This window comes from Homo sapiens, chromosome 19 (genome assembly GCF_000001405.40).
Source record: "Homo sapiens chromosome 19, GRCh38.p14 Primary Assembly".
Lineage (NCBI taxonomy): Eukaryota > Metazoa > Chordata > Mammalia > Primates > Hominidae > Homo > Homo sapiens.
Genome location: NC_000019.10, coordinates 13,931,109 through 13,953,581, shown reverse-complemented (window position 1 = coordinate 13,953,581; position 22,473 = coordinate 13,931,109). Strand labels below are relative to the sequence as shown.

The 22,473-nt window shown below is 54.2% G+C and overlaps 2 protein-coding genes across 23 annotated transcripts in view, besides 3 other annotated features; one reads left to right on the top strand and one right to left on the bottom strand.

Moving 5' to 3' along the window:
- DCAF15 (DDB1 and CUL4 associated factor 15) overlaps positions 1–1,073 on the bottom strand; it is an 8,941-nt gene extending 7,868 nt beyond the window's left edge. For all 9 annotated transcript variants that reach the window (NM_138353.4, NM_001393638.1, NM_001393642.1 and 6 more), the window contains exon 1: positions 938–1,073. In NM_138353.4, the coding sequence (NP_612362.2) occupies positions 938–1,069 (132 nt within the window). In that variant the 5' untranslated portion in view covers positions 1,070–1,073. The remainder of the gene's footprint in view (positions 1–937) is intronic.
- On the top strand, positions 199–22,395 carry PODNL1 (podocan like 1). Of its 14 annotated transcripts, none has more exons than XM_011528308.1 (10): positions 199–463; positions 15,576–15,797; positions 17,122–17,215; positions 17,538–17,602; positions 17,752–17,861; positions 19,172–19,328; positions 19,589–19,704; positions 20,127–20,784; positions 21,470–21,618; positions 21,695–22,395. In XM_011528308.1, the coding sequence occupies exons 1-10, from the start codon at positions 446–448 to the stop codon at positions 21,843–21,845; spliced, it is 1,740 nt and encodes a 579-aa protein (XP_011526610.1). In that variant the 5' UTR covers positions 199–445; the 3' UTR covers positions 21,846–22,395. The 14 variants fall into 14 exon arrangements, with proteins under 14 accessions (XP_011526610.1, XP_047295409.1, NP_001139726.1 ...); NM_001370095.3 differs by lacking the exon at positions 199–463 and adding an exon at positions 15,165–15,403; XM_011528310.3 differs by lacking the exons at positions 199–463; positions 17,538–17,602 and adding an exon at positions 15,165–15,403 and having other exon boundaries at positions 19,197–19,328.
- Positions 851–990: a silencer, noted in NCBI's record as "silent region_10219". NCBI's record gives its function as "represses an Ori minimal core promoter by ATAC-STARR-seq in GM12878 lymphoblastoid cells {active_cell/tissue: GM12878}" and the evidence as "EXISTENCE:reporter gene assay evidence [ECO:0000049][PMID:35858748]".
- Positions 1,651–1,700: an enhancer, noted in NCBI's record as "active region_14150". NCBI's record gives its function as "activates an Ori minimal core promoter by ATAC-STARR-seq in GM12878 lymphoblastoid cells {active_cell/tissue: GM12878}" and the evidence as "EXISTENCE:reporter gene assay evidence [ECO:0000049][PMID:35858748]".
- Positions 16,645–17,402: an enhancer, noted in NCBI's record as "H3K27ac-H3K4me1 hESC enhancer chr19:14046993-14047750 (GRCh37/hg19 assembly coordinates)". NCBI's record gives its function as "activates a minimal SCP1, AML or CMV promoter by ChIP-STARR-seq in naive H9 embryonic stem cells {active_cell/tissue: H9 hESC(naive)}" and the evidence as "EXISTENCE:reporter gene assay evidence [ECO:0000049][PMID:30033119]".

Genomic DNA, 22,473 nt, shown 5'->3' with positions numbered 1-22,473 from the left:
ATGGAGGTCTCAGTCTGACGGAGGAAACAGCCTGGCCAGCCAGGCCCAGGCCGACAGGGGAGACACAGTCCCTGCCCAAGGAGCTTCCAAGCTAAGGGCGGAACCACAGCCAAGCCCAGGGAGCTCCCAGGCTAAGGGCGGAGACTGTCCCAGCCCAGGGAGCTCCCAGTCAAAAGGGGGAGACACAGCACTGCCCTTACAAAGCTACCAGCCTCACGGAGAAGGCGCAGTCCCTGTCCACAGAGACACAGCCTTGCCCCAGTTACTGCCCACCTGCAAGAGATCCACATTTCTGCCCTCCAGAGCTCCCAAACTGATGGGGGAGAGAGACATCATCCCCCAGCTCTGGGAGTTTCCAGTCTGATGGAGGAGACAGAGCCTGCTTCGGTAACTCTCACTCTGCGGGGGAAGACTCAGCCCTATCCAGGGAGCTCCCACACTTTCAATGGGGAGGCCCACCCAGGTACTGGAACTCCCAGCTCATGTGTGGTCGGGGCTTGGGCAGGGAGAGGAACATCAGGCGGAGGAAGCCCAAAGCCAGCGGCAGGGGCTCTGCAAAGGGGGCGGGAAGGTTCCATTATGGAGCAACCATGGGAGCAGAGCTTTGAAAAGCCTGGATCGCCCCCTTCCTCCTGATTCTCCCTGCGGCCTCTGGGGTCGCCTCCCTCCGAGCCCCCTCCCTGGGGCCCCGCCCCCAACCCCCTCCATCCCAGCCCCTTTGCCGGTCACCCGACACAACCACCTGCATCCAGGCCCCCAACTGAGCCCCCTCCATCCAAGCCATCTCCCCCGGGCCCCGCCCAGGCCCTGCATCCGAGCCCCCTCCCCTGGGGCCCCGCCCCCAACCCCTCACCCCGCGAACGCCCTCCTCCCTCCGCCTCCCTCGTCCCTACTCCCCACCCTCCGGCGCGCTCCCCACTCCGGCTCCAGGCCTCACCTTGACCCGCTCCAGCTGCTTGAGGACGTGCTCCCGCCGCCGCCCTGCTGCCCGCTTCCCTCCGGCTCCCCCGGGGCCGCCGCCGCCGCTCCCAGCCCCGCTGTTCCGCTCCGATTTCGAGCTGGGCGCCATTTTCACCCCCTCCCTCCACTTCCGGAGCAACCGGCCCCTTCGCCCCACCCCTGCCGCCTCCTCATTGGTCCTTTTTCGGGACAGCGGCCCGCCGGTTGGGCGAAAGCCCGCACTCGCGCTATGCCTGTCCATCAAAGCCATCTCGACTCTTGATTGGTAGCGACAGTAACAGCCCCCGCGGCCCGTTGCCGTATTCCCGCCCCGCCTTAAGGACGTACCACTCGGAGGTCCCGTTTGTTCGCCCTGCCCAGATAACTTTGATCTGATAGGTGAATATCTCTGTCTGTCTCAACGGCGTCACGCCCCCTGTGGCTGGCGGGTTTCCATGGAGACCACAGGCGGTCCAGGCCCTTGGGCGGGGCGACGGGAGCCTGTGGTCCACCAAGGCTCGAGAATCCTCAGCCCCGGGCTGCCCGCGCCCGGTCCAGGTGGGCAAAGGCCTGACGAGCATACTTGGGCGGCAGAGCCAGGCCGAGGAAAGAGATTTACAAAAAAGGAAAAAACGATGGGATTCGATGAAAGCTTGTTTCCGATGGGCGGGTTGGTGGGATGATGGTGGTGATAATGATAGCATCAATCATGGATCGCTCCACATGTGACAGACACGGTTCTGAGCTTAAACAGTTCGATGTGGCAGGGCCCTGTTGTGCCAATTATGCAGATCATAGCAATAAAAATAATTGTTGAAGGTCCGCTCCGTGCATCATATTCGTATACATTACCTCATTTATTTTATTTTTTTAGACAGAGTCTCACTTTGTCACCCAGGCTGGAGTGCAGTGGCGTGATCACGGTTCACTGCAGCCTCGACCCCGGGCTCAGATGATCCTCTCACCTCAGCCTCTCATGTAGCTAGGACTACAGGCGTGCGCCACCACGCCTGCCTAATTTTTTGTATTTTTAGTAGAGACGAGGTTTCACTATGTTGGCCAGGCTGGTTGCGAACTCCTGACCTCAGGTGATCCGCCCGCCTAGGCCTCCCAAAGTGCTGGAATTACGGGCATAAGCCACCGCGCCCGGCCTAATTTTTTGTATTTTTTGTAGGGACGGAGTTTCACCAAGTTGTCCAGGCTGGTCTCCAACACCTGGGCTCAAGTGATCCTCCCACCTCTGCTTCCCAAAGTGTTGGGAGGACAGGTGTGAGCCCCCACCCCTGGCCAGCCCATTTAATCCTCTGAACAATCTAGAAGATAGTTTTTTTTTATTGTCTTCATTAAAAAAATTTTTTTTGTAGAGATGGGGTCTCACTATGTTGCCCAGGCTGCTCGAAAACTCCTGACCTCAAGGGATCATCCCGTCTTGGCCTCCCAAAGTGCTGGGATTACAGGCATAAACCACTGTGCCCAGCTGATTTCAAGGGTTTTAGGAGTTATGTACTAGAAAACCTAAGACCAAAATATGGTTTTTTAAAAATATATCACAACACAATATCACAACATATCTTTTTTTTTTTTTTTTTTTTTGAGATGGAGTTTTGCTCTTGTTGCCCAGGCTGGAGTGCAATGGCACAATCTCAACTCACTGCACCCTTCACCTCCCGGGTTCAAGCAAACGATTCTCCTGCCTCAGCCTCCCAAGTAGCTGGGATTACAGGCATGTGCCACCATGCCCGGCTAATCTTTGTATTTTTAGTAGAGACAGGGTTTCACTATGTTGGCTAGGCTGGTCTCAAACTCCTGACCTCAAGTGATCCACCCACCTCACCCTCCCAAAGTGCTGAGATTACAGGCGTGAGCCACTGCGCCCGGCCATCACAATGTATCTTTAGCCAAAGGTTCCCCTGCTTCTTGCATACCCTACGTCCATGGAGAGCAAAGCTGTCTCCAAGACAGTGGGGACACCTGGCAGCTACTGCCTTAACCAAGTGATCAAAATCAACATCACCAGTGATAAGTCATACTGACATCACGGACCCCAGCTATGTGATAGGGAGGACATTTGTAACTGTCTGATATTATCCCCAAACCTAGAACCTCAATCTAACCATTAGACAACATCAGACATTTATCCCAGATTGAAGAAGGTTCTCAAAATACATGACCAGGCCAGGTGCGGTGGCTCATGCCTGTAAGCCCAGCACTTTGGGAAGCAGAGGAGGGAGGATCACTTGAACCCACGAGATCAAGACCAGCCTGGGCAACATGGCGAAACCCTCATCTCTACAAAACATCAAAGAAATTCACTGACTCTACTGGCACACGCCTATAGTTTCAGCCACTCGGGAGGCTGAGGCAGAAAGATTACTTGAGCCCAGGAGGTCAAGGCTGCAGGGAGCTATGATGGTGCCACTGCACTCCAGCCTGGGAGACAGAGCGAGACCTTGTCTCAAATAAAAAACAAAACAAGGCCAGGCATGGTGGATCACGACTGTAATCCCAGCACTTTGGGAGGCTGAGGTGGGCAGATCACAAGGTCATGAGACTGAGACCATCCTGGCTAACACAGTGAAACCCCGTCTCTACTAAAAATACAGAAAATTAGCCGGGCCTGTAATCTCAGGTGGCACACGCCTGTAGTCCAGCTTCTCGGGAGGCTGAGGCAGGAGAATCACTTGAACCTGGGAGGTGGAGGTTTCAGTGAGTCGAGATCACGCCACTGCACTGCAGCCTGGGTGACAGAGCAAGACTCTCAAAAAAAAAATAAATAAATAATTTAGCGGAGTGTGGTGGCGTGAACCTACAGTCCCAGCTACGTAAGAGGCTGAGGTGGGAGGATCACCCGAGCCCTGGAGGCTACAGTGAGCGGAGATTGAGCCACTGCGCTCCAGCCTGGGCGACAGAGTGAGATCCTGTCTCAAAACAAAACCCAAAACCCAAAACCCAAAAAACATTAGAGGAAATTGAGTGAAGGGAATAAAAGAACTCTCTGTACCTTCTTTGCAGATCTGAAAATGTCTAATTTCAGGCTGGGCACAGTGGCTCACACCTGTAATCCCAGCATTTTGGGAGGCTGAGACAGGAAGATGGCTTGAGAAGAATTTGACCAGCCTCGGCAACTGTTAAGACCTCGTCTCTACAATGAAAAAACATTTTTTTTTCATTAGTCTGGTGTGTGGTAGCACGTCTGTAGTCCTATGTACGTGGGAGGCTGAGTCGGGAGGATCCCTTGTGCCCAGGAGTTTGAAATTACAGTGAGCTGTGATGGCGTCACTACATTCCAGCCTGGGTGACAGAGCAAGACCCTGTCTTTAATAATAATAATAATAAAATTACAAATAACAAAAATAAAATAATGTTGTTTCAAAATTCAAAGGGGCCAGGCACGGTGGCTCACATCTGTAATCCCAACACTTGGGGAGGCCAAGGCGGGCGGATCACTTGAGGACAGGGGTTCAAGACAAGCCTGGTCAACATGGTGAAATGCTGTCTCTACTAAAAATACAAAAATTAGCTGGGCTTGATGGTGGGCTCCTATGATCCCAGCTACTCAGGAGGCTGAGGCATGAGAATCGCTTGAACCCGGGAGGCAGAGGTTTCAGTGACACAGAGCGTGACTCTGTGTCAATAAATAAACACATAAATAAACTCTAAGTTTTTAAAAGAGCATGGGGGAGGATTTTTTTTTTTTTTTCTGAGACAGAGTCTCACTCTGTCACCCAGGCTGGAGGACTGTGGCACCATCTTGGCTCACTGCAACCTCCTCCCAGGTTCAAGTGATTCTCCTGCCTCAGCCTCCCAAGTAGCTGGGACTACAGGCGCCTGCCACCATGCCTGGCTTTTTTTTTTTTTTTTTTTTTTTGTAGAGGCAGGGTTTCACCATGTTAGCCAGGACGGTCAGGATGGTCTTGATCTCCTGACCTCGTGATCCTCCCACCTTGGCTTCCCAAAGCGCTGGGATTACAGGCGTGAGCCACCACACCCGGCCAGGAGGATGTTATTATGACTGCTATGTGCAGAATGGTCTTGGGGGATGAGGATGGGGGCAGGAATAGTCTTGGGGGAGCCAGGAGGGTAGGTGATGCTGACTTAGATTAATCTACTAGCATTGAAAATGGAGAATACGGCCGGGCATGGTGGCTCACACCTGTAATCCCAGTACTTTGGGAGGCTGAGGCAGGTGGATCAGGAGGTCAGGAGATCGAGACCATCCTGGCTAAACATGGTGAAACCCCGTCTCTACTAAAAATACAAAAAAAAAAAAAAAAATTAGCCGGGCGTGGTGGCGGGCGCCTGTAGTCCCAGCTACTCAGGAGGCTGAGGCAGGAGAATGGCATGAACCTGGGAGGCAGAGAGCTTGCAGTGAGCCGAGATTGCGCCACTGCACTCCAACCTGGGCGACTGATCAAGACTCCGTCTCAAAAAAAAAAAAAGAAAAGAAAAGAAAAGAAAATGGAGAATATTGGCCGTGGTGGCTCACGCCTGTAATCTCAGTGCTTTGGAAGACCAAGGCAGGAGATGGCTTGAGTGGGAGGATTGCTTAAAGTCTCCCTTGATCCCCGGAGACCAACCTGGGCAACATAGTGAGATCCCATCTCTATAAAAATTTTAGAAATTAGCATGAGGGCCTGAGCCTGTACTCCCAGCTACTTGGGAGGCTGAGGTGAGAGGATCGCTTGAGCCCAGGAGTTCAAGGCTGCAAGTGAGCCATGATCGCACCACTGCACTTCAGCCTGGGCAACAGAATGAGACGCTGTCTCAGAAATAATAATAAAAATAAAGAAAGAAAATGGAGAAAAGTGGCCATAGTCAGAGCCGATGGGGTCATTTTCAAGGACAAGATATTGGGATAGGGGCAAGGAGAGAGAAGTTAATGATGACTTTAGCATCTGAGTGGAATATTTAGCAAAATGTTAGTGCCATTTTTTGATATGAGGAAGACTAGGGAGAAGTCAGTTTGGCCCAAGTCAGTTGAATACGTACATGGGACAAACAGACTGTTTTTCCTTCTATATCACATCACTCTCAATCCTTCGCTTCTGACACCAGATGATGGGGCAGCTTCTCCCAAATCAAGTAATTCCCCAATTCTTGGTGGACACCAACATGATGTCCTGCAATTTACCTCAATTCTTTTTTTTTTCTTTTTTTTTTTGAGGTGGAGTTTTGCTCTTGTCACCCAGGCTGGAGTGCAATGGTGCGATCTCAGCTCACTGCAACCTCCGTCTCCCGGGTTCAAGTGATTCTCCTGCGTCAGCCTCCCAAATAGCTGGCATTACAGGCATGCACCACCAGGCCCAGCTAATTTTTGTATTTTCAGTAGAGACGGGGTTTCGCCATGTTGACCAGGCTGGTCTTGAGCTCCTGGCCTCAGGTGATCCACCTGCCTTGGCCTCCTAAAGTGCTGGGATTACAGGCATGAGCCACCATGGCCAGCCTTTTTTTTTTTTTTTTTTTTTTTTTTTTCTGAGATGGAGTCTTGCTCTTTCACCCAGGCTAGAGTGCAGTGGTGCAATCTTGGCTCACTGAAACCTCCGCCTACAACAATTATTATAAAGGTGTTTTTATGGTGTTTTTTTTTTGTTTTTTTGTGTTTTTTTTTTTTTGAGACAGGCTGGAGTGCAGTGGTGTGATCATAGCTCACTGTAGCCTCGACCTCCCAGCCTCACGCAATTCTCCCACCTCAGCCTCCCGAGTAGCTGGGACTACAAGTGCGTACCACCACGGCCAGCTAATTTTTGTGTTTTTAGTAGAGAAGGGGTTTCACCATGTTAGCCAGGATGGTCTTGATCTCCTGACCTCGTGATCCGCCCACCTCGGCCTCCCAAAGTGCTGGAATTACAGGCGTGAGCCACTGCACCTAGCCAAGATTTCCCATATTTCTGATCGTTCGTCACTTGGACTCTCCCTTAATACGTATATGTATTTGTTTACAAATAACCCAACTATACAGGTGCATTTAGACCACTCTTTCTAGCCTGTGAATTAAATCATACCTGGAAAAGGGCCATAAAACAGGATGGGGCAGGTAAATAGAACTAGAAATTATGATTCATTTCCCACACCCAACTTTGGAGACCAGTGGCTTTGAACACAGAAAGCCTTGGGCTCAATTTTCCTTGTGGTCCTAACTCCTCATTGCTTCCTTTTTACAGGTCATCCCACTTTTATGCAGTAGTGATAGAAACTCAATTTTTTTTTTTTTCCAAGACAGAGTTTTGCTCTGTCACCCAGGCTGGAGTGTAATGGCTCGATCTTGGCTCACTGCAACCTCTGCCTCCCAGGTTCAAGCAATTCTCCTGCCTCAGCCTCCCAAGTAAGCTGGGATTACGGGTACCCACCACCACGTCTGGCTAATTTTTGTATTTTTAGTAGAGACGGGTTTCATCATGTTGGCCAGGCTGGTCTCAAACTCCTTACCTCGTGATCCGCCCACCTCGGCCTCCCAAAGTGCTAGGATTACAGGCATGAGCCACTGTACCCAGCCAAGAAACTCCATTTTTATCTGAACATGTGGCTTCCCAGTAGAAAGATGGTGTTTCTCATCCTCCCTTGAAGTTAGCAGTGTGTATCCACCATTTCCTTTCTTTTCTTTTTTAGAAACAGGGTCTTGCTCTGTTGCCCAAGTTGGAGTGCAGTGGCACTCCACCCAGGCTCAAGCAGTCTTCCCACTTCAGCCTCCCAAGGAGCTGGAACTACACGCATGCACCACTGTGCCCAGCTAATTAAAAAGTTTGTTTTTTTTTTTTTAATGGAGTCTCGCTCTGTCGCCCAGGCTGGAGTGCAATGGTGTGATCTCGGCTTACTGCAACCTCTGCCTCCCAGGTTCAAGCGATTCTCCTGCCTCTACAACACCAGGTGCAGTGGCTTACGCCTGTAATCCCAACACTTTGGGAGGCTGAGGTGGGTGGATCACAAGGTGAGGAGTTCAAGACCAGCTTGGCCAAGATGGTGAAACCGTGTCTCTACTAAAAATACAAAAATTAGCTGGGCGCAGTGGCAGGCACCTGTAATTCCAACTACTCAGGAGGCTGAGGCAGGAGAATCACTTGAACTCGGGGGATAGAGGTTGCAGTGAGCCGAGATCATGCCACTGCACTCCAGCCTGGGCAGCAGAGTGAGACTCCATTTCAAAAAAAAAAATTGTAGAGACAGGGTCTCACTTTGTTTCTCAGGCTGGTCTTGAACTCCCGGGCTCATGCAATCCTTCCACCTCCACCTCCCAAAGTGCTGGGATTACAACCGTGAGCCACCTTGCCCAACCTAATTTTCTGAATTTTTTTTTTTTTTAGAGATGAGGGTCTCACTATGTTGCCCAGGCTGGTTTTGAACTCTTGTCCTCAAGTGTTCCTCCTGCCTCAGGCTCCTGAGTAGCTAGGATTACAGGTGTGAGCCACTGCACCCTGCTCAACTTTTTTGCTATTTAATTCAACAGATGTACAGGGCACAGTGGTGCATGCCCATGGCCCCAACTATTCAGGAGTATTGCTTGAGCCTGGGAGTTGGAGTTCAGACTGGGAAACATAGCGAGCTCCTGTCTCTTAAAAAACAAAATAAAACAGGCCGAGTGTGGTGGCTCATGCCTGTAACCTCAGCCCTTTGGGAGGCCAAGGTGGGTGGATCACCTGAGATCAGGAGTTCAAGACCAGCCTGACCAATATGGTAAAATCCTGTCTGTAATAAAAATACAAAAATTAGCCAAGCATGGTGGTGTACACCTGTAGTCTTAGCTACTGGGAAGACTGAGACAGAAGAATTGCTTGAACCCAGGAGGCAGAGGTCGCAGTGAGCCGAGATCGTGCCACTGGACTCCAGCCTGGGTGACAGAGTGAGACTCCCTCTCAAAAAAACCCCAAAACAAACAAAAAAAAAACCCCAAACAGGCCAGGAGTAGTGGCTCACATCTGTAATCCAGTACTTTGGAAGGCCAAGGCGGGCGGATCATTGAGGTCAGGAGTTTGAAACCAGCCTGGCCAACTTGGCAAAACCTGTCTCTATTAAAAATACAAAAATTAGCCAGGCATCATGGCCTGCACCTGTAGTCCCAGCTACTCGGGAGGCTGAGACACGAGAATCGCTTGAACCCAGGGATCGGAGGCTGCAGTAAGCAAAGATCCCGCCACTGCACTCCAGCCTGGGCAACAGAGAGACTTTGTCTCAAAATAAACAAATAGGGCCAGGTGTGGTGGCTCACGCCTGTAATCCCAGCACTTTGGGAGGCCAAGGCAGGCAGATCATGAGGTCAGGAGATCAAGACCATCCTGGCTAACACGGTGAAACCCTGTCTCTACTAAAAATACAAAAAAATTTAGCCAGGCATGGTGGCGGGTGCCTGTAGTCCCAGCTACCCGGGAGGCTGAGGCAGGAGAAGGTGTGAACCCGGGAGGCGGAGCTTGCAGTGAGCCGCCGAGATTGCGCCACTGCACTCCAGCCTGGGTGACAGAGCGAGACTCTGTCAAAAAAATTAATTAATTAATTAATTTAATAAATAAAACAAAACAAAAACAGATGTACAAGGATATCCAGTGGCAAGCCTCTCTTTGCCCCCAGCCACAAGCATTCAGGTCTCCCCCCAGAGCTAGCCAATATGTATGTTTTAATATATGGAAATGATCTACATTGTTAGCATCATTCTGCAATTTTTTTTCCCACAAGATTATCTCTACCCAGGTAAATCCATGTCGTGGTTTGAATGGTGTCCCTCAAATAGATAGGTAGATGTCCTGTCTCCCCGATGCCGTGAATGTGACCTGATTTGGAAAACAGGTCTTTGCGATGTAATTCAGTTAAGGATCTTGAGATGAGATTATCCCAGATTAACTGAGTGGACCCTGAATCCAAAGACCAGTGTCTTTATAAAAGACAGGAGAGGAGAGGCTGGGCGCGGTGGCTCACGCCTGTAATCCCAGCACTTTGGGAGGCTGAGGCAGGTGGATCATGAGGTCAGGAGATCGAAACCATCCTGGCTAACATGATGAAACACCGTCTCTACTAAAAACACAAAAAAATTAGCCGGGCGTGGTGGCATGCACCTTTAGTCCCAGCTAATTGGGAGGCTGAGGCAGGAGAATGGCCTGAACCCAGGAGGCAGAGCTTGCAGTGAATCAAGATCACACCACTGCACTCCAGCCTGAGCAACAGAGCGAGACTCCATCTCAAAAATAAATAAATAAAGACAGGAGAGGAGAAACAGGCTCAGTGAAGAAGGCCACGTGGAAACTGAGGCAGAGATTAGGGTGATGCAGCCACAAGCCAGGAAACACCAAGTTGCCTGGAACCACTTCCAGCCTCCAGAACTGTGAATGCATTCCTTTTCTTTCTTTCTTTTTTCTTCTTTTTTTTTTTGGAGTTTCACTCTCGTTGCCCAGGCTGGAGTGCAATGGCGCGATCTCAGCTCACCACAACTTCTGCCTCCCAGGTTCAAGTGATTCTTCTGCCTCAGCCTCCTGAGTAGCTGGGATTACAGGCATGTGCCACCATGCCTGGCTAATTTTGTATTTTTAGTAGAGACGGGGTTTATCCATGTTTGTCAGGCTGGTCTCAAACTCCCGACCTCAGGTGATCCGCCTGCCTCAGCCTCCCAAAGTGCTGGGATTACAGCATGAGACACCGTGCCTGGCCCTTTCTGTCTTTTTTTAGAGAGAGTCTTGCTCTGTCACCCAGGCTGGAGTGCAGTGGTGTGATCGCGGCTCACTGCAACCTGTGCCTCCTGAGCTCAAGCGATTCTCCTGCCTCAGCCTCCTGAGTAGCTGGGATTACAGGTGTGCACCACCATACACAGCTAATTTTTTTTGTTGTTTTTTTTTGTATTTTTTAGTAGACATGGGGTTTCACCATGTTGGCCAGGCTGGTCTCAAACTCCCAACCTCACATGATCTGCCCGTCTCTGCCTCCCAAAGTGCTGGGATTACAGGTGTGAGCCACAGGGGCGCACAGCCAATCCTATGTGCATTCTGTAAATATTTACTAAATACTGATTATACCAGGCTCCATGCTGGACACTGGGGCCACATTGATGGACCATACTCCATTGTTATCCCTGCAGAGGCCCCTGCTGGGTAATGCAGAACTGGGCAGGACCAGGCAGGACTGGACAGGACAGTGTGGCAGAAGGGGAGTTTGTTGCAGGAAGATAAGGCCAGTGGGTTATTTACAGGAACAATGGTTAGGTTCCTAGCCAATCAGCACATTCCATCCCTCTGGCCCCAGGGATTGGCTCTGGATGGACATGTGACCAAATTTAGGCCAATGAGATTTAAGTCTGAGGCTTTCTACTAAAGCCAGGGAAGAATGCTTATTGGTTCTGGGAATGTCTTAGCACCACATACAGAAGCCTGCAAGTAGAGTTCAGAGTTCAAGAGAGAATTCATCTAGAAGAGATCACTGGAGCCCCTGGATCCAGCTGTGCCTGAAGGATACAGGTTTTCTGTTCATGAGCCAGTAAATGCCCTTGTTTGTATTAGCTAGTTCAGTTTGGGTTCTCCTTCCTTTGCAATGGAAAGAGGCTTGCCCGGAACTCAAACATCTTGGTTCTTATTGCTGCTTCCCTGGGGGCTAGGACTGCTACAGTAGTCCTGTCTCCCTAGGGTTAGCCCCATTACACTGCTGAAGAGACTGAGGAACTTCCACCCAATGTCCAAGCTAATGGCCATCCATCCCATGGGGAGTACTTGAGATAGGAGCTGTTGTTCTCTTCTGGCCTAAACTAAGACCCGTCTCCTGTCTCACCCCATGAAGAGAGACCCTCAGGAGGTCACACAGCCCTAGGAAACATGAACAGATAACCACCTCTCTTGGCCCATGTTTCTTAACTTTTTTTTCTTTGAGATGGAGTCTTGCACTGTCGCCCAGGCTGGAGTGCAGTGATGCAATCTCGGCTCACTGCAACCTCCACCTCCCAGGTTCAAGAAATTCTCCTGCCTCAGCCTCCCAAGTAGCTGGGATTATAGGTGCCTGCCACCATGCCTGGCTAATTTTTTTGTATTTTTAGTAGAGACGGGGTTTCACCTTGTTGGCCAGGATGGTCTCGAACTCCTGACCTTAGGTGATCTGCCCACCTCAGCCTCCCAAAGTGCTGGAATTACAGGCGTGGGCCACTGCGCCCAGCCACTGTTTCTTGATCACTTCCTCCCTCCCCTGTATCACTGCCTGCCTTCTCTGGAATAAATGCACTCAATCCTTGTCTCAAGCTCTGCTTCTGGGAGACTCCAACTCCTGGCCTTGGCCACTCCCAAGCTGAGCAGACGCTATACTTTTTTTTTTTTTTTTTTTTTGAGACGGAGTCTCACTGTTACCCAGCCTGGAGTGCAGTGGTGTGATCTCGGCTCACTGCAGCCTCCAGCTCTCAGGTTCAAGCAATTCTCCTGCATTAGCCTCCTGAGTAGCTGGGATTACAGGCATGCACCACCGTGCCCAGGAAATTTTTGTATTTTTAGTAGAGACTGGGTTTCACCATGTTGGCCAGGTTGGTTTCAAACTCCTGACCTCAGGTGATCCACCTGCCTTGGCCTCCCAAAGTGCTGGGATTACAGGTGTGAGCCACCGTCCTTGGCCGACACTATACTTTTATTTTTATTTATTCATTCATTTTTGAGACAGGGTCTCACTCTGTCATCCAGGCTGGTGTACAGTAGCATGAACACGGCTCACTGCAGCTTCAACCTCCTGGGTTCATGTGATCCTCCCACTTCAGCCTCCCTGGTAGCTGGGACTACAGGCAACACCACCATGCCCCGCTAAGTTTTGTTTTGTTTGAGACAGAGTCTCGCACCATAGCCCAGACTGGAGTGCAGTAGCACAATCTCTGCTCACTGCAACCTCTGCCTCCCAAGTTCAAGCCATTTTCCTGCCTCAGCCTCCCAAGTAGCTGGGATTACAGGCACATGCCACCACACCCAGCTAATTTTTGTATTTTTTAGTAGAGACAGGGTTTCGCCATGTTGGCCAGGCTGGTCTCGAACTCCTGACCTCAGCTGATCTGCCCACCTCGGCCTCCCAAAGTGCTGGGATTACAGGTGTGAGCTACCGCGCCTGGCCCCCGCTAAGTTTTTTTTTTTTTTTTTTTTTGAGACGGAGTCTTGCTCTGTCACCCAGGCTGGAGTACAGTGGCGTGATCTCGGCTCACTGCAACCTCCGCCTCCCTGGTTCTAGTGATTCTCCTGCCTCAGGCTCCTGAGTAGCTGGGACTACAGGCGCGCACCACCACACCCAGCTAATTTTTTGTATTTTTAGTAGAGATGGGGTTTCACAGTGTTAGCCAGGATGGTCTCGATCTCTTGACCTTGTGATCCACCTGCCTCGGCCTCCCAAAGTGCTGGGATTACAGGTGTGAGCCACCGCGCCTGGCCCCCCACAAAGTTTTTAAAAAATTTTTTTAGAGACGGGGGTCTCACCATTATTGACCAGGCTGGTCTCAAACTCCTGGGCTTAGAGCCATCCTCCTGCCTCAGCCTCCAAAAGTGTTGGGATTACAGGCATGAGCCACCACACCCAGCCACCATTCTTAAAATGTTCTACCCACTGCCTCGTTCTGCTTCAAGACAGCTCTTTGAGGGGGGGGGTTTGTCATCCCCCCACTTTTTTTTTCTTTATTTAATAACAGGGTTTTATTCTGTTGCCCAGAGTGGCGTGCAGTGGCACATAGCTCATTGTAACCTCAAACTTGAGCCCAGAGGCTCAAGTGTTCCTCCTGCCTTGGCCTCCTGAGTACCTGGGACTGTGGGTGTGCACCACCATACCAGGTTAGTTATTATTATTATTATTATTATTGAAACAGAGTTTTGCTCTGTTGCCCAGGCTGGAGTGCAGTGATGTGATCTCCACTTCCCAGGTTCAAGCGATTCTCGTGCCTCAGCCTCTGGAGTAGCTGGGATTACAGGCACGTGCCATCATGCCCAGCTAATTTTTGTATTTTTAGTAGACAGGATTTCACCATGTTGGGCTCGATGCTCTGGAACTCCTGACCTCAGGTGATCCGCCTGCCTAAGCCTCCCAAAGTGCTGGGATTACAGGTGTGAGCCATGGAGCCCAGCCCAGGCTAATTTTTTTTTAAATTTATTTTTAGAGACAGGGTCTCACTATATTGCCCAGTCTGGTCTCAAATTCCTGGCCTCAAGAGATCCTTCTAGCCAGATGTGGTGGCTCATGCCTGTAATCCGAGCACTTTGGGAGGCCAAGGTGGGCAAATCACCTGAGGTCAGGAGTTCGAGACCAGCCTGGCCAACTTGGCGAAACCCTGTCTGTACTAAAAATACAAAAATTAGCTGGGCATGGTGGGAGGCGCCTGTAATCCCAGCTACTTGGGAGGCTGAGGCGGGAGAATCACTTGAACCCCGGAGGTGGAGGTTGCAGTGAGCCGAGATCACGCCACTGCCCTCCAGCCTAGGCGACAGAGTGACAGAGTGAGACTCTGTCTCAAAAAACAAAAGAGAGATCCTCCTGTCTCAGCTTCCCAAAGCACTGGGATTACAGGTATAAACCCCAGCACCCAGCCTGTCAATCCCATTTTATGTGTGGGAAAGCTGAGGTCTGGGCAGGAGAAGGACCTGTCTGAAGCCGCCCTGTTGGTAAGTTGTGGGTCTGGGAGAATTGACCTCATGTGGAGACCAGCTTGTCACCCCCATCCACGGGTGCCAAAGCCCTGGGATATGCCAGGCACTGTTCTGAATGCACACTTCGTATAATCCTTACAACACTGTGGGGGAGTGTGGGGTGGTGAGCCAACCATTACCCCAGAAAGGGAAACCAAGGCCCTGAGAGGTGGCACAGCCCAGGTTCAAACCCAGGCAGGCTGGCACCAAGCTCACACTCTTAACCACCAGGCTGATGCCTGGATATATGTAATTTCCTTCCAGGCGGCTGTGGCCATTTGCGGGGGGAGGAGGGGGCGGGTGTCTGGAGCAAGACCAGCCAGCAGAGGGGAGGTGGGTGCCGGGCAGCAGACCTGGTCAGGAGCTCCCAGGCTGGCATCTGGGCTGCCAGGCTAAGCTCAGGCCTCCCTAATCCCTCGCTGCTGCCCGCCCCTGCTTCTCGGAACTCTCCTGTGCCCCGAAGCTCCCCCCATCCCTCCATCCCCACCCCTACTCCTGCGGTCGTCCCAAATACCAGACAGGACGAATCTCAGCTTTTCCCCAAACATTCCTTGTTCTTGTGGCCCGGCCCAGGCTGGCTGAGGTTACGAAAGCAGAGATGGGGTGGTTGTTGGGGGGGACCAAGGGGACGGGCTGGCCTGTCCTCACCACCCCATCCGGCCGCCTGCCCGTCCTCCCCAGGGCGGGGAAGGGGGTGGGCCAGCTCCCCCAAAGCCCCGGGAGAACAGGCTGTTGTGGGGGGTGGCATGGGTCTGGAGATGGGGGGCGGTGGTGGCCACAGCAGAGGCTCCAGGAGGTGACCGCCTGGTTTCCATTAGGAAGTCCTGGTCAGCAGCTTGGGCGAGATGGCAGAGTCAGGGCTGGCCATGGTAAGGTGGGGCACGGGAGGGTCTGAGGGTGGGGCCTGCCTGCCCCCCCACCCCTGCTCTGCCAACTGGCCACTGCCTCCCCACCAAGACCCTCCCCGAGGAGGGGATGCTCCAGTCACCATGGCGACCCTGCGCCCAGCCTGGAGACACGCTGACCCTCCCTCCCCCGCAGTGGCCGAGCCTGCTGCTGCTCCTGCTGTTGCCGGGGCCCCCGCCCGTCGCCGGCTTGGAAGACGCTGCCTTCCCCCACCTGGGGGAGAGCTTGCAGCCCCTGCCCCGGGCCTGTCCCCTGCGCTGCTCCTGCCCCCGAGTCGACACTGTGGACTGTGATGGCTTGGACCTTCGAGTGTTCCCGGACAACATCACCAGAGCCGCTCAGCACCTCTCCCTGCAGGTGGGGCCCACGGAGGGGAGTGGGGGCATGCAGGGCTGAGACCCAGTGGTGAGGGGAGCTGGAGGGGTGCCCCAGAGCTGAGGAGCGTGGTGGGGTATAGGAACACACTTGCAGGAGGGCGGTGCAGAGCAGGCTGTGATGGAGCTTTGCCTTGGCAGATTGGCTCTGCATGCCCAAGATGAGAGGGGTGAGCGTGGACATGCTGGAAGTTGTCGGGGACTGAGGATTAGTGGTGTTAGGGTCAACATCTTGGCGGTTATAGTGTTGTTTGGAGTTAGTGTGATGGGGAGTTTGGGGTTATGGGGATGTTGTGGCGTGTGGGGTTGATGGTGGGGGTGATGGCACATTTGGGGTCGATTGTGGGGGTGATGGCGCATTTGGGGTCAATTGTGGGGGTGATGTCGCATTGTGGTCGATTGTGGGGGTGATGGCGCATTTGGGGTCGATTGCGGGGGTGATGGCGCATTTGGGGTCGATTGCGGGGGTGTTGGGGCATGTGGGGTTGATTGCGGGGGTGATGGCACATTTGGGGTCGATTGCGGGGGTGTTGGGGCATGTGGGGTTGATTGCGGGGGTGATGGCACATTTGGGGTCGATTGCGGGGGTGTTGGGGCATGTGGGGTTGATTGCGGGGGTGATGGCACATTTGGGGTCGATTGCGGGGGTGTTGTGGCATGTGGGGTTGATTGCGGGGGTGATGGCGCATTTGGGGTCGATTGTGGGGGTGTTGTGGCATGTGGGGTTGATTGCGGGGGTGATGGCGCATTTGGGGTCGATTGTGGGGGTGTTGTGGCATGTGGGGTTGATTGCGGGGGTGATGGCGCATTTGGGGTCGATTGTGGGGGTGTTGTGGCATGTGGGGTTGATTGCGGGGGTGATGGCGCATTTGGGGTCGATTGTGGGGGTGTTGGGGCATTTGGGGTCGATTGTGGGGGTGATGGTGCATTTGGGGGTGATTGTGGGGGTGATGGCACATTTGGGGTTGATTGTGGGGGTGTTGAGGAATTTGGGGTCGATTGTGGGGGTGATGGTGCATTTGGGGTCGGTTGTGGGGGTGATGGCACATTTGGGTTGATTGTGGGGGTGTTGGGGGAATTGGGGTCGATTGTGGGGGTGATGGCACATTTGGGGTCGATTGTGGGGGTTTGGGGTTTGACATCTTGGCAGTTATAAGACTGGGTCAGAGTGATGGGGTGTTTGGGATTAACTGTGGGGGTGATGATGGTATGGGGCTGGTTTGGGCTGATGGGAAGTTGAGAATCAGTGCTTGGGGTCACTTGGTCACGGGGTCACGGGTGTGAACACCCCAACTCTCACCCTGCAGAACAACCAGCTCCAGGAACTCCCCTACAATGAGCTGTCCCGCCTCAGTGGCCTGCGAACCCTCAACCTCCACAACAACCTCATCTCCTCCGAAGGTGAGGGGGCAGAGGGAGGCGGCCTCTCTGGGGCTGTAGGACTGACCGAGGTCTCAGCTGCCATCCCCCTCCCCCGCCCCATCTGCGGGCAGCTCTGTGGCAGTTCCCAGAACTGCCCTTTGCTGAGCAGGATGGAAACTCAGGAGCTGGGGTGGGGGTTGGGGGCTGTGGCTTTTGAGTAGGGATGGGGAGGAGGGGATCTGAGGGCCTGGGGAGCCTCTGCCAGTTCCCCGGCCGAGAGTCCTGGGGCAGCTGGGAGCCCAGACTCCCCCTCCACCCAAGACAGGCCTGGGGTCCCTTCACTGCCCCCCTACTCTCCCAGGCCTGCCTGACGAGGCCTTCGAGTCCCTCACCCAGCTGCAGCACCTCTGCGTGGCTCACAACAAGGTGAGCCCCCAGCCCCACCCGCAGGCCGAGCCCAGTGAGGGTGCAGCTTCAGTCACTCAGCCCAGGGTGTGGAGGGGACAGCTCTGCTGGGGAAGTGGTGGGGCCAAGGCGCACCAGGACCAGTCCGGCTGTGGGCTGTGTCCCCACAGCTCTCAGTGGCCCCTCAGTTTCTGCCCCGGTCCCTCCGTGTCGCGGATCTGGCTGCCAACCAAGTGATGGAGATCTTCCCCCTCACCTTTGGGGAGAAGCCGGCACTCAGGTAGACCCTGGCCCAGCCCAGGCCCCCAGGCCTCAGATACATCTGTGTCATGCCCCGGTTCTAGGAGCAATGAGGGAGTTAAGACCTTGCCCTCGGCCGGGTGCAGTGGCTCACTCCTGTAATCCTAGCACTTTGGGAGGCCAAGGTGGGAGGATCATCTGGGGTCAGGAGTTCGAGACCAGCCTGGCCAACATGATGAAACCCTGTCTCTACTTAAAATACAAAAATTAGCTGGGGGTGGTGGTGTGCGCCTGTAATCCCCGCCACTCAGGAGGCTGAGGCAGGAGACTGGCTTGAACCCAGGAGGTGGAGTTTGCAGTGAGACGAAATCGTGCCACCGCACTCAAGCCTGGGCGACAGAGTGAGACTCTGTCTCAAAATTAAAAACAAAAACAGAAACAAAATGCCTTGCCCTGGAGGGCTTAACCAGGGACAGATCCCTAGCCTTGGGGAGTGGGAAGAGGGCATAGTTCTACCCTGGGAGGAGAGTGAGCGGGGAGACAGGGCCCTGTATGCTGTGTCAGAACTCCAGACTGAGGTGGAGACAGTATGTGCAGGGACACACACACACACACACTTACACAGACTCACATACACACCTGCACACACAACCACATGAACACATGCTCATGCACACACAATCACATGCACACACAAGCACACACACAGACTCACATACACACCTGCACACACTTCCAACCACATGCACACAGGCACACACTCATGCATGCACACGCAATCACATGCACACACAAGCACACACATGCACATATGTACACAATGCTCACACTTTTGCACATGATCACATGCACACATGGACATACATGCATACACACAGTTGCACACTCGGCTGCACACACACAATCACATGCACACTTATGCACAGGCATGCACACATGCACACCCACACTTACAATCACATGCACACACTCACCCATGCACACTTATGCACAGGCACATAGCACACACTTGCATATACATACACACATGCACGCCCACACACTCTTACAATCACATACACACGTGCACACACACTCCACATATGCACTCATTACACTTACACATGCACACTGCTCACACATGCACACACGTCTATTCATACAACACACATGCACACTCACCTGCACACCTACGCACAGTCACATGCACACATACACAATTACATTCCCACACAGACTCCACACATGCGCGCGCACACACACACACACACACACACACACACTGAAGGCGACCCTGAGCAGGGTGTGGTGCGGGAGTGGGGTGGTAGGAGGCGAGGGGCAGGCTGGTGGCCGGAGCCTGGCTCTCCTCAGGTCCGTGTACCTCCACAACAACCAGCTGAGCAACGCTGGCCTGCCCCCCGACGCCTTCCGCGGCTCCGAGGCCATCGCCACCCTCAGCCTCTCCAACAACCAGCTCAGCTACCTGCCGCCCAGCCTGCCGCCCTCACTCGAGCGGCTCCACCTGCAGGTAGCCCTGCTGTAGGTCCCACCCCGGGCCAGACTCTCTTCACCTCTTTCCAGGGGGACCCCTCCAGTTCCTAGCTTTCCATTCTTCTCAATTGCCCCTCAGAATGCCAGTGGTCAGAGTTATCCTTCTTTGAATCACTTTATTGGAAATCGCTTTGAGCTCAAGGCAAGCTCCTCGTCACTCCCTTACTCAAGAGCCGTCTGTGGCTTCCCGCTGCCCTCATCCCAGACTCAAGTCTCATTCTCTTCTTCCTTCTCCAGAACAATCTCATCTCCAAGGTGCCCCGAGGAGCCCTGAGCCGCCAGACTCAACTCCGTGAGCTCTACCTCCAGCACAACCAGCTGACAGACAGTGGCCTGGATGCCACCACCTTCAGGTACAGGCTGGTTGGGGGGCAGCAGGGGCTGAGAATTTACAGTCGGGGGTCCCAACCTTCAGTCCCCCTTCCCTGACTGGCTCCTAAGCCACGGCCTCATTTACTGAGTGCCTGCTGCTCACTGGGCTCGGCAGAGCACTGGGTAGGTGTCCCTGTTCCCCACAGCCCTGCACTGACATCGTAAGTCTCACATGCCTTTCCATCTCGGCTCTACCCTGGTCACCCCCATAGCTAACTCTCAGGCTGGAATCTGCCCTGGGCACCCCAAGTTTACCTCCCACCCAGCTCTCTCCACGCATCACTCCCAAGTCAAAATCTCCAGCTTAAATCTGTCTCAGGACCACTCCCCAGCCTCCCCGCCAAAATCTGTCAGGCACCCCACTCCAAGTGCCCCACCTAACACCGACCCTCTCTCCTTCCAGCAAGCTGCATAGCCTTGAATACCTGGATCTCTCCCACAACCAGCTGACCACAGTGCCCGCCGGCCTGCCCCGGACCCTGGCTATCCTGCACCTGGGCCGCAACCGCATCCGGCAGGTGGAGGCGGCTCGGCTGCACGGGGCGCGTGGTCTGCGCTATTTGTTGCTGCAGCACAACCAGCTGGGGAGCTCAGGGCTGCCCGCCGGGGCTCTGCGGCCGCTGCGGGGCCTGCACACGCTGCACCTCTATGGCAATGGGCTGGACCGCGTGCCTCCAGCCCTGCCCCGCCGCCTGCGTGCCCTGGTGCTGCCCCACAACCACGTGGCCGCGCTGGGTGCCCGTGACCTGGTCGCCACACCGGGCCTGACGGAGCTTAACCTGGCCTATAACCGCCTGGCCAGCGCCCGTGTGCACCACCGGGCCTTCCGCCGGTTGCGTGCCCTGCGCAGCCTCGACCTGGCAGGGAATCAGCTAACCCGGCTGCCCATGGGCCTGCCCACTGGCCTGCGCACCCTGCAGCTGCAACGCAACCAGCTGCGGATGCTCGAGCCCGAGCCTCTGGCCGGCCTGGACCAACTGCGGGAGCTCAGCCTGGCGCACAACCGGCTCCGGGTCGGCGACATCGGGCCAGGCACCTGGCATGAGCTCCAAGCCCTCCAGGTCAGGCACAGGCTGGTTAGCCACACTGTCCCCAGGGCCCCTCCATCCCCCTGCCTGCCCTGCCACGTCCCAAACATTCTAGTTAGCTGGTAAAGCAATCAGAACAAGAAAATGATAAGAGTGGGTTAGAAGGTGATGAGGAGGCTGGGTGAGGTGGCTCATGCCTGTAATCCCAGCACTTTGGGGAGCCAAGGCAGGAGAATCGCTTTAGGCTATGGGTTTGAGACCAGCCTGGCAACACAGCAAGACCCTATCTCTACCAAAAAAACATAGCCAAGCGTGGTGGCACATGCCTGTAGTCCCAGCTATTCAGGAGGCTGAGGCAGGAGGATCGCTTGAGCCCAGAAGTTTGAGGCTGCAATGAGCCGTGATCGGGCCACTGCCCTCTAGACTGGGCAACAGAGCAAGACCCTGTCTCTTGAAAAAAAAAGTGATGAAAGAGGTATGGTGCGATTCAATGACTGACTCATTTAATCAAGTGGGGACCTGTCTGTCTGTGCCTTCCTGGGAAGGGCCTTAGTTTACCTCTGCAGAAGGGAGGAATTTGGCAATCATGGGGGGTGGGGGGCAGAAGGGCCAGGCTGGTATGAAGGGGGCAGGGGACTCTCAGAGAGGTTGGGGGCTGGCTGAGCTGAGTGGCCCAGGCCTGGGGCTGCCACGATGCCATCTATAACCCCCTGCCCAGATGCTGGACCTCAGCCACAATGAGCTGTCCTTTGTGCCCCCGGACCTGCCTGAGGCCCTAGAGGAGCTGCACCTCGAGGGCAACCGCATCGGCCACGTGGGCCCCGAGGCCTTCCTCAGCACACCCCGCCTGCGTGCCCTCTTCCTCAGGTGCCCCGAGGGTGACCGGAGGGGTGGAGGTGGGCAGGGGAGGGCCTGGGAGGGTCATGACCGCCTCTCTGTGCAGGGCCAACAGGCTTCACATGACGAGCATCGCGGCTGAGGCCTTCCTGGGGCTCCCAAACCTGCGTGTGGTGGACACGGCAGGGAATCCGGAGCAGGTCCTGATCCGGCTGCCTCCCACCACCCCACGTGGGCCACGGGCAGGGGGCCCCTGATCCTAGAGAGGCCCAGCAGAGCAGCTCAGACTCCTGGGACTCCGCTGGGCCGTGGACTGAGGAGACAACGCCCACCAGGGGCCCTTGGTCTGGCTCTCCTGGGCCTCCAGGGCTGGGCCTGCTCTGCCTGCCACTGGCCGAGACACAGAGGCACACAGCTGGCATACTCCAGGCTCACAGACCACGCCGGCCTGGCGGGACACACCCTACCCCAAACTCCCAACACAGATGGAGGCAGCAACAATAAAGCCAAACCCTTCCAGCACTCAGCACGGACCAGGCACCCTTTGGGGGCTCTGTCCACGGACTCCTCCCCACAACCAGTCCAGCTGGGGAAACTGAGGCTCTGGGATGCTAAGTGGGTCAGGACTGAATTTTGAGGTCTTGAGGCACACACTGGGGTCACCAAACAGCACCCTGTGCGACCTAGCCACGTGTGATTGCAGGGACGCCCAAGGCCACCCACTGAAAAAACACTGGGTGACAGATATAGGGACCCTCACATGTATCCCCCCCCACAGCAAGCATGGGAATGAAATGCATCCTTCAAGCTGGGTGTGTGGTGGTGCCCTTCTGTAATCCGTTAGGAGGCTGAGGCAGGAGGATCATGTGAGCCCAGGAGTCGGAG